Below are 12,185 nucleotides of genomic sequence, written 5' to 3'. Positions count from 1 at the left end.
TTAATCAGGTTTCTGAACTTTCTCCTGGGCCCATCTGTGCACTTCCTTGTAAAATCCAGCTTTAGCAAAAGAACTCTGCTAAGTCAATTTCACCAGAACCCCCATCCTCAATAATCTGATCATCCTTGATATCTGATCAGGTTCCTCGTCTCCATCCTCCCCCAGATGATGTCTGATCATCCTGGCCTGTCTTCAGCAAGAATCCTGTTAGGTTGATTTAGCCAGAATCCCCTTTACCCCTGATATTTCCTCCTAGTAATTTTCCATTCACTGACCCCCACCCTGCTCCTTGGTTATAAATTCCCACTTGTCCAGGCTGTATTGGAAGTTAAGCCCAATCTCTCTCCCCTACTGCAACACACTGTTGCAGTCATCCCTGTACCTACCTTGATGGTTCTGAATAAATTCTTCCCTACTATGTTTCAACAAGTATCACTGAATAATTTTTTTCTTTAATAGTAGTTAGCTGGCCAGGCGCAGTGGCTGATGCCTGCAATCCCAGCACTTTGGGAGGCCAAGGAGGGCAGATCAAGAGGTCAGGAGTTCGAGACCAGCCTGGCCAATATGGTGAAACCCTGTCTCTACTAAAAATACAAAAATTAGCCAGGCATGGTAGCATGTGCCTGTAGTCCCAGCTACTTGGGAGGCTGAGGCAGGAGAATTGCTTGAACCCAGGAGGCAGAGGTTGCAGTGAGCCGAGATTGTACCATTGCACTCCAGCCTGGGGGACAGAGAGCAAGACTCCGTCTCAAAAAAAAAAAAAGGTAGTTAGCTATGGCTGTGAGTGTCAATCTGCTCCACCCCCAAATTCTTTTTTGGTCTTAAGCTACCACAAACAAATGAACAGCAAAAAAATAAAAAAAATAAAAATAAAAAAATAAAAAGGTTAGGCTTGCTTCTGCGTCATGGTCTTTTCGGGTCACTGAAGACAATATATTAAACACAGATCCTTAGGGGCTTCTAAGTTAGGAAGCACTCATAGGTGAATGTGAAGAAAATATGATAGAAATAAATAACATTGCAAAAATTTACATGGAGATTTTAAAATGTGGTTCTGTTTTATGAAAGTAAGTGCAATTTGTGAAAAATGAAAGAAACCATACATTAATAAGGATGCACCTGTCATCACTTCTATACACATACCTGTTCTAAAAAGTGAAAATGTAACAACTACCCCATGTCGATTGAGAAGTGGCATTAAACTTTCCCTAGGGACCAGACAATTCTTACACTTGCTCAAATTCGGATAAAAAGAAAAGTATAAGCTCAGCTCCTTTCTTATGGGTTCACCTGCAACTTTTCCCCTGGGTAGACTGTAATGAATGACATCTTTAGTTAGAAACCTGAAGTGTTCAATATTTGCACAGAAGGTCAGTCCCATCCATTTCACCTCTTATTTTTAGACTCCAGATTCTAATTTGTAATTATTGCTGTTCAAGGACCTTAGCTGAACTGACTCAGCTAGGAAAGACTGTTCCATGTAATCCTCTTAGATAAGTCACTGAAGCAACTCAAAAACAATAAAAAATTAGTATATTCATAATTTTGTAAAGCCTTGTCTTGGGTCTTTTTCTCTGATGTTAATTCTATAGAATAAAATTTCCCCCCAAATCCACATCTCTTAGGCTTAAGATAAAGGATGGTTGAGATGTTGAGGTGACTAGTTTTAATTCCTGGGGGATCCTTTGAGATTTTGGTTATCTCCTGCCTACCCCATTATGATAGCAATATTCTAATACTGTCAATATTTTACATTTTAATCCATGCTGGTAGGTTTGGAGTAGAATCACATTTTGGTTTTAAATAACGTTTGTTTGTTCTATTTTTCTCTTTTTATGTCAAAGGTAATGCATGATTCAAACCAAATCCCCCTTAATCACCCATCTCATTCCCCCAAGGCAAATGGTTAATATTTCCTTCAATACTTTTCCTATGATGATACAAATGTGTGTGTGTGTGCACGTGTGTGTGGTGTGTGTTTGAAAGACAGGATCATATAACTTCTATAACTTCCTTTTCCCATTTAATATAAAATGGATGTCTTTTTATGCCTATTTATATCTACTAGGTATGGGCCTCTTAAAAGCTACATATTATGATTATACCATAATTGATGTAATTATTCCTTTTTGTTAACACTCAATTTGTTTCCAGTCCTTTGCTATCACTCAAAAGGCCATCATGAACATTTCTTCCTTCATTTATTCCATCAACATTAATTTAGTACTTAATCACTGAACTTCATGCTGCGGACAGAGCCATGAACCAAACACAAAAGTCCTTGTCTTCACGGAGCTTATATTCTATGTAAGGAGACAGACAATAAGCATGATAAATAAAACATTATTTATGTATTTACATGTAGTTAAACATGTATGCTAGCAATAAGTGGTAAGGGGAAAATAAAGGAAATAGGGGTAGGAAACATTGGTAATGGAGGGACAGGTTTACAATTTTAGATAATTTGGCCAGAAAAGGACTCATTTAAAAAGTGACATTGTGAGCAAAGGCCTAAAAGAACCAAGGTCCTTTGCCACATGGACATCTGGAGACAGTGCATTTCAGGCAGAGGAAATAAAAAGGAAAAATGCCTCTGAGATAGAAACATGCCTGGCCAGTGTGTTTGGAGCAATGGCGAGGCAAGAGATGGTTGAAGTGACAGGGCAGTCTTGTACATGCATCTTTACACAGATTGTGATTGTGGCTGTATTTAGCTCACTCTCTTCTTCCCTCCCAAAGCCCCCGTTCTGCACATGAGGGTTTCATAGTGCTCCCCTGGCTTCAAACTTTTTTTTGCTTCCCAATAGACTAAAAATTCAAACAAGACTGTAAATTACCTGGCCACTGCTTCCATGTCCAACTTCATCTAATGTAACTATTTCTCTGTCACTAGGCTCCAACCGTCTAGTGGTTCCTAGAGTCCTTCAAACTTCTCCCCACTTCAGTGCCTTTGTTCTATGCCTGGAATGCTCTTCCAGAGTTCTTGGCATAGCTGGCTTGTTGTCATTCCTCAGGACACATGCAAGTGTTACCTCTCTAGAGTGGCCTCCCCTCAATCACCTTCTCCTCAGTGCCCCCCTCCTTCTTCCCCATTATTCTTTATCATAGCACCCTGTTTATTCCTTTTACTGAAGTTACAAAAAATCTTCAGTTAAATCTTTTTTTTAGACCTCAAACCTCTTCTCACCATATATTTAAAGATGACTTCCCTCTCTTAGGTAAACTGTGAAAATGACAAATTGTGACTCTTAACTATTTCCTGTGGTTTAAATGCTTGTGTCTCCCCAAAATTCATTTGTTGACATTTCAACTCCAAGATGGTGGTTTTAGAAGGTGCGGCCTTTGGGAGGTTAGCTCATGAAAGGAGAGCTGTCATGAATGGGATTAGTGCCTTCATAAAAGAGGCCCAAGAGAGCTCCCATGCTCCTTCAGGCACATGAGGACACAGAGAAGGGACGTCTGTCTATTAACCAGGAAGCAGACCCTCACCAGACACCAAATCTTCTGGAACTTAATCTTGGACTTCCCAGCCTCTAGAACTCTGATGAATAAATTTCTGTTAAGTTACCCAATTTATGGCATTTGTGATAGCAGCCTGAACTAAGACACTTGTTCTCATAAAAATACTATTATAAGAGTAAATTTCATATTACTGTAACAAATGGAACATGCATACAGTGCTTCAATGTTTCTTTGTAAAATTTCTCCATTGAGAAATTGTTTAAAAATTGCACTGGCCTGTGATTTAATGTTATCACTAAGGAACAGAAAGGAACCAGCCTATTAAATCTTATGAGTTGTAGAATGGAGGCCCATGGCAATCATATCTGTCCCAAGAGAAGTTATATGAAAAGTACATAAAATTTAACCCTTGTAGTATATCCCCAATTAGGGGCAAAACCCTTAAAAAATGGAGAGTTCTAGATCTGCCCAGATATATGAAACCCACAATGGTTGGAAAAAGAAAAGTAGAAGATAAAGACATTTTCAATCACAGAAAAATAAGATTATAACTAGCAAATTTATTTTAAAAATTCTCTAAATTCCATATCACCTAAATTCCACATCACCACTTATTGTGTAATGCCCCCAAAGTATAAGGGAATGGTTGCTTCCTTTTCTCCTAAATTATCAAAGTCTTAGTTGCCTTTAAAAATACAGCACACCAAAGTATTATTTTTAGCATCTCATTCACAAGGCACCGTTCCTGCTTACTGTGATTGAGAAGCTCAAGGGTGCCTCATTATAAAAATGTTCTCAACCATTGTTCCATTTGTTGGCCTTAAATACTGTTTTGGCGACCCCTAGTGTGAAACATTATTTCAACATCTGGACATATTGAAAGTCCTCCTAATACTTGCTTACAGACAGAAATGATATCTAAAATAATTTTTCACCAAGGGAAATGTGACTTCAGTTAATTTCTACTTAAAGTTCATGTCTTTCTTAGATCATAATAAAATTTGAATATAATTTCTGGTGATCCAAGACATTTGAAAATCACCGAAAAGCACTATGGTTAGAAATTCATGATTGCGTTAAGTGTGTGCACAACAGTAGTTTCATTGTCTTTAATAATGCTCTAATTCCACTACTAGGAATTCACCCTACGAATATACTTGTACATGTGCAATATAACATATGTACAGTATTAGTCATTGCAGCAAGGTTATTCATTGCAGCAGTGGAAACAACATAAAGGGTAATCAATAAAAGGGTGGTTACTGGGAGTATGATACACTCATACAAGGGAATATTATGTGGCAATAATACAAGGAAAAAAAGAATGAGAAAACTCTTTTATGTATTAATATGCGATGATCTCTATGATGTATCAAAGAACATAGAACAGAATTAAACAACCAACACAAAAAACCAAGGTAGAGAATTATGGTGAGTATTTTGCTACCATATGAATTTTAAACGGGGGTAAAATACTATACATATTTGTGTTTGCTTATACATCCATGAATGTAATCTCCCAAAGGATACACAAGAAACTAATACAGTGTGGTTACTCATTAAAGATGGGGGTGAGAAATGGTATAAGTTAGATACTGCGTTCCTTGTTATAGTTCTCTATGTGTGGATTATGCCTTTGCTAGTCAAAATGTTAAATGGCTTCTTAAAAAATTTAAAGCCTGCAGCACAAGGCCAAGAAAGACAAGGAAGACTTTGCTTCAAAAACAGATCCAACAGAATATAATTTTCTGTCTTAAAACATATGTAATTTTTCTTTATACATTTTAAATTCTATACACTTTTCTAATGGAATCTTTTATTGCATATTTTTCCTTACTCAAATGCTGAACTGTAAGACAGCATTTGTAAAATTTTATTTTTAAGATTTCTGTTTACTTTTTTTCCTTCCCCAAAGTCACCTAGTAAAGACAACATTTGATAGTTACATAAAGTAACCTAACAGGTGGGATTGACTTGAGGTAATATCTTCGGTTAGGAAATTCTCACAGCTCTCCTGGCATGTCTTGCCAATAAGATTGCTGGTTCCAGACCAAAATTCTTTATTGTCAACAAGTGTAAGAAATTGTAATATTCCTTATTAGGTCATAATTTAAAATTCATGTGTAATATAAGTATACATGGCAGATACCCAGGAATAAACTTAACAGAATATGGTAAAGATATGAATGGAGAAAATTATACCAGCTTTATTTTACATTAAGAAAAGTAGACTTAGGCAGGTTGCGGTGGCTGACGCCTGTAATCCCTGCACTTTGGGAGGCCGAGGTGGCCTTGAGGCCAGGAGTTCAAGACCGGCCTGGCCAATATGGTGACCCCTGTCTCTACTAAAAACACAAAAAAATTAGCCAGGCATGGGGGCACATGCCTGTAATCCCAGCCACTCGGGAGGCTGAGGCATGAGAAATTGCTTGAATCTGGGAGGTGGAGGTTGCAGCGAGCCGAGATCATATCACTACACTCCAGCCTGAGCAACAGAGCAAGACTCTGTCAAAGGAAAGGAAAGGAAAGGAAAGGAAAGGAAAGGAAAGGAAAGGAAAGGAAAGGAAAGGAAAGGAAAGGGAAAGGAAAGGAAAGGAAAGGAAAGGAAAGGAAAGGAAGAAGACAAAGAAAGAAAGAAGTAAATAAATGAAAAAATATACCATGTGCATCAATGAGAAAATTCAACATAGTTAAGATGACAACTCTCTCCAAGTTAAAAATTAAATATAATTACAATTAAAAATTGCAGCACGGTTTTCATACTATTTGAAAGCTGACTTCATTAAATGTGAGGCTTTGTAGTGCCTTTAAGGATCATCTGGGGGAATGTAGAAACTACTATTCAGGCATTTATTTAGGTTTTAAAAGCTGATGCTCCCTCTGCTAAACTTATAAATTGAAAAACTACCTGTTCCCTTAAGCTTTTAACTTCAGCTAAAAATCCTAATCTATTTCTAAGTTTAGCAAATTTTAGCGATCGTTTTAAAGGGGACTTTGAATAAAATTTAGTTCTACTCCAAAGTTTAACTATTTTAAACACTTTAAATCATAGTTAATTTTTTTCCTTTTTTTTTTTTGAGACAGGGTCTCACTGTCACCCAGGCTGGAGGGCAGTGGTAAGATCTCAGCTCACTGCAGCCTCAACCTCCCAGGCTCAAGCAATCCTCCCATCTCAGCCTCCCGAGTAGCTGGGACTACAGGCACGTGCCACCAGCCTCAGCTAATTTTTGTATTTGTAGTAGAGACGGGGTTTCACCATGTTGCCCAGGCTTGTCTCCAACTCCTGGACTCAAGAGATCCTCCTGCCTTGGCCTCCCAAAGTGCTGGGATTACAGGCGTGAGCTGTCACGCCAGGCCTAAACCATAGTTATTAATATATTTTATGCTCCTTGTAAGTATTGCAATTATCTGATTTAATAAATAAAATCTTTTCAAGTATTTCAATTATTTTCATAAATCTAATTAAATTCACAAATATGTAAAAAGCAAGTTATTTTATGTATTCCATGTCACTGTATATAACTATTATGGCTGAATTGTGTCCCTCTAAAATTCACATGTTAAAATCCTACAGCCTGGCCAACATAATGAAACCCCAAGTCTACTAAAAATACAAAAATTAACCGGGCATGGTGGTGCATGTCTGTAATCCAGCTACTTGGGAGGCTGAGGCAGGAGAATTGCTTGAACCTAGGAGGTGGAGGTTGCAGTGAGCTGAGATCACGCCACTGCACTCCTGTCTGGGTGACAGAGCAAGACTCCATCTCAAAAAAAAAAAAAAAAAAATCCTAACCCCCAGCACCTTGGAATGGGACTGTATTTGGAGACAGTACCTTTAAGAGGTAATTAAGTTAAAATGAGGTTATATGAGTGAGTCCTAATCCAATATGACTGGTGTCTTTATAAGAGATTAGAACACAAACAGGCACGGAAGGAAAGCTTTGTGAAGACACAGAGAGCCAAGGAGAGATACCTCAGAATGAAACCAGCCATGCCAACACCTTGCTCTTGGATGTCTAGCTCTAGAACTGTGAGAAAATAAATTTCTGTTGTTTAAACGACCAGTGGTACTTCTGTTACGGCAGCATTAGCAAACTAATATATCTTGATTCTTAATTAATACACATAAGGGCATTTTCCATTTACCTCTAAAGGCTTTTGAATTTGAGGAATTCTCTCATATCTTAGAATCATTCTTAATGATATAGAAATAGTATTAAATTAATTTTCACGGCTTTGTTCTACTCTATCACAATTGCCATAAGGATTCTGCCAATTCTAAATTCATGTGGAAAAGCAAAAGATCAAGAATAGTCAATAAATTTATGAAAGAAAAAAATTGTACAGGCTTTCATCCTATCAGATATCAAGACCTATTATAAGGGTTCAGTAATTAAGACCCTGTGCTACTGTTGAAGGTATAGACAGATAGACTAAAGGAATAGAATGCCCAGCTCTATAAATAAGTAATAGAAGCACTAAATGAGTAGAAAAAAAGATGCACTATTTAATAAATGATTGGTTATCACTGGTAACTAGAAAGCCAAATAGGAAAATACTAAAAATTAGATCCATAAATCAAAACAAAACGAAACGAAAGCTTCCAGGTGGATTAAAGTTGTAAACATGAAAAACAAAAATTCTAAAACTTTTAGAAGACAATAAAGGAAACTCTTTTTGTGGCCCTTTGGCAGGAAAGGGCTTTGATTGATTTCATTTTCTAAACCAAATACAAAAAGCACAAACCATAAAGAAGGGCTGATAAATCTGACTACTTTAAACTTAACTTCTCTACAACAAAAGATATCCTAAAGAAAGGGTAAAGAAAAGCTATAGACTGGGAAAAGATACTTTCATTGCTTATAACCGCAAGCCTAGTATCCTGAATATGTAAAGAGCTCCTAGGCCAGGCACAGTGGCTCACGCCTGTAATCCCAACACTTTGGGAGGCCGAGGTGGGTGGATCACTTGAGGCCAGGAGTTTGAGACCAGCCTGGTCCACATGGCAAAACCTGGTCTCTACTAAAAATACAAAAATTAGCCAAGAGTGGTGGTGGGTGCATGTAATCCCAGTTACTTGGGAGGCCAAGGCAGGAGAATTGCTTGAGAGATAGAAGTTGCAGTGAGCTGAGATCATGCCACGGCACTCCAGCCTGGATGACAGAGCGAGACTCCGTCTCAAAAAAAAAAAAAAAAAAAAAAAAAAAAAAAAAAAAAAAAGAGCTCCTGAAGATTAGTAAGAAAAATACAAACATCCAGTAGGAAATGGGCAAAGTATATGAATATGCAATTCACAGAAGCAGAAATATAATAGATCAATAAACAAAAAGATCTCCAGCCTCCCTATTTAATCAGCGATATGCAAATTAAAGCCAAATTGAAATTCCATTCCATCCAACAGATTTGAAAAATTAAAAAATATCTGACAGCGCCAAGTATTGAAAAGTATGTGGAGCCAAAGGAATTCTCATTCTGCTGGTGGAAGAACCAATTGGTACAATCACTTTGGAAAGCAATTTGGCAACATTTAGCAAAGCTGGAAGACACTCATCCCTAAGTCTCAACAATTTTATTCCTATGTATATGCCCTAGAGCAGGGGTCCACAACCCCTGGAACTGGGCCAAACAGCAGGAGGTGAGCAGTGAGCAAGCAAGCAAAGCTTCATCCGTATTTACAGACACTCCCCATCACTGGCACTACTGCCTGAGCTTCGCCTCCCGTCAGATAAGCAGTGGCATTAGATTCTCATAGGAGCTTGAACCCTATTGTGAACTATGCATGTGAGGGATCTAGGTGGTGCACTCCTTATAAGAATCTAATGCCTGATGATCTGAGGTGGAGCTGAGGTGTTTATTGCAGCTTGCACTGGGAAGCAGCTGCAAATATAGATTAACGTTAGCAGAGGTTTGACTACACAGAGACCATAATAAATCAATTGCTTCCAGACTCATATCAAAACCCTGTCAATGAGTGGTAAGTAGCAATTAAGCTGCATCTGGTGGCAGGCTTTATAGTGGCAAGTGAATTGATGTACTTCAGTTATACAGCTGCATCTGGTGGCAGGCTTTAAGTCACAATTCAACACTTATTTTAGTCTGTGGATGGCCCACCCATTATTTACCACTTCCATCCATGCTTCTTTCCAGCACTTGTCTCAGCCACTGTTTTGGTAAGCACACAAGCTAACCCCAGCCAAAATAAGTAAAAAACAAACATCACTAGAGAGCTTCTTTGAAAAAGGAGAAAGACCCAATGATGAGATAGAAGACTCTAAGACTGACAGTGAAAAGAAAGCTGCATTTAAAAGAAAACACCGAGGGTCCTACTTAAATTACTCTTTGCAACAAGTAATTCACATTCTCCAAGCTCATTTTGTAGAATACTTGGTAACTCTCTATCCACCGAAACTATGAAAGCCTCAAAACCGCTTTACCACATGGAGACCAAGCAACTTGCATTAAAAGACGAGGTTTTGGAGTTTTTCAAAAGAAAAAAACATGAACACAAACAGAAGCAATTATTGAAGGCCACTACCGCATCAAGTGTGTCTGTACTGAGAACATCAGTCAATGGCTAACCACATTGCTAAAGCTAAGAAGCCCTTTACTGTTGGTGAAGAGTTGATCCTCCCTGCTGCTAAGGACATCTGTTGTGAACTTTTAGGAGAGGCTGCAGTTCAAAAGAAGGCACACATTCCTCTTTGGCTAGCACCACAACTAGACAAACTGATGTAATAGCAGAGGATATTGAGGCATAATTGTTAGAGAGGATTAATAAGTCACCATGGTACACAATCCAGGTTGACGAGTCTACCAATCCTGACAACAAGGCAACAACGCTTGTTTTTGTGAATATATTTTCAGGAGGATGTGCAAGAGGCTATGTTATGTGTACTTTTGTTGCCAGCCAACACCACAGCTGCAGAACTATTCAAGTCTTTAAATGACTACAAATCAAGAAAACTGAATTGGTCATTTTGTGTTGGTATAAGCATGGGTGGAGCAACTGCCATGACTGGACAGCTTTCTGGTTTCACTACTTGGGTCAAAGAGGTTGCTTCTGAATGTGTCTGTGCACTGTGTCGTCCATGGGGAAATGCTGGCTAGCTGAAAAATGTCACCTGAACTTCACAACGTTTTGCAGGATGTGATTAAAATTATCAGCTATATTGAAGTACATGCCCTTAACTCACGTCTGTTTGCACAGCTCTGTGAGGAGATGGACACAGAGCGCATTCATCTTTCTTATACACAGAGGTGAGATGGCTTTCTAAAGGTAGATCACTGGCCAGAGTTTTTGAGTTAGGAGGGCTGCTACAGAGATTTCTTTTAGAAAAATAGTCACCACTGGAAGCACATTTCAGTGACACAGGATAGGTGGCAAAACTTGCTTACTTGTGTGACATATTCAACCTGCTCAGAGAATTCAATCTGTCACTTTAGAGGAGAACAACTGTGTTCAAGTTGGCAGATAAAGTGGCTGCATTCAAATCCAACTGGAATTATGGGGGTTACAAGTCAACACCGGGATTTTTGACATTTCAAACATTAGTAGAGATTTTGAAAGAGACTGAGCCAGGGCCTTCTTTCTCCCAGCCGGTGCATGATCACCTGTCTTACATTCAATAGAGTTTGGGCATTACTTCCCAATTACAAAAGACCTCTGAACTGGGAAGGAATGGATCTATGACGCATTTGTGAAAAAACCAGGTGAATCAACTTTGCCCGTGCTAGAAGATCAACTGCTTGAGACTGCAAATAATGGTGGCTTAAAAGTATGTTTGAGACAACTTCAAATCTCCGTATGTTCTGGATTAGAGTCAAGGTGGAATATCCTCAGATTGGCACCAAAGCACAGAAAAGTCTGCTTCCATTTCCAACATCCTATCTATGTGAATGAGGGTTTTCTGCAGTGATAGCAACCAAAACGAGATTACAGAGTAGACTGGACATAAGCAACATACTTTTGGTGTCACTATCCCCCATCACCCCCAGATGGGACTGTCTAGTTGCAAGAAAATAAGCTCAGGGCTCCCAATGATTCTACATTATGGTGAGTTGTACAATTATTTCATTATATGTTACAATGTAATAATAATAGAAATAAAGTGCACAATAAATGTAATGCACCTGAATCATCCCGAAACCATTGCCATAACCCCTGTCCGTGGAAAAATTGTCTTCCACGAAACCAGTCCCTGGTGCCAAAAAGGTTGAGGACCACTGCCCTGGAGAAACACCTTCACATGTATAAGAATATTTATTTCGGCATTGTTTCTAATAACAAAAATACGAAAATAAATGCCCATCATTGAGAGAGTGGACATGTTATGTTATACTAATTAAGTGACATACTGTATAGCAGTAAACAATGAACTAAAGTTACATAACATGTAACATGAATACTGACAAGGGCAAAAAGCAACTTTTATAACAATATAGACGGAGTGTTATTTATATAGAGCTTTAAAACTTGCATAACAAAAACAACTATTGTGCATGGATACACACTTTCAGCAATCAAAAAAACAGGCTCCATAGAAAAATGGCAAAATGTTAAGGTTTGATACATCTCCCACAAGTATGCCTGGCAAAATTCTTTACATTTTAGGAGTGAAACATTTGTTATAACGAAGTTTAAACAGCAGAATAAAATTATTTTCAAGTTATCTCCTTCCCAGTAAAGTTTTCCTTCTCTTCGGTTGTAATAATTTATCCATTTA

This window comes from Homo sapiens, chromosome 6, assembly GCF_000001405.40.
Source record: "Homo sapiens chromosome 6, GRCh38.p14 Primary Assembly".
NCBI classification, from domain to species: Eukaryota; Metazoa; Chordata; class Mammalia; order Primates; family Hominidae; genus Homo; species Homo sapiens.
The sequence above is the reverse complement of the archived record's forward strand: the minus strand, read 5'-3'. Positions refer to the sequence as shown.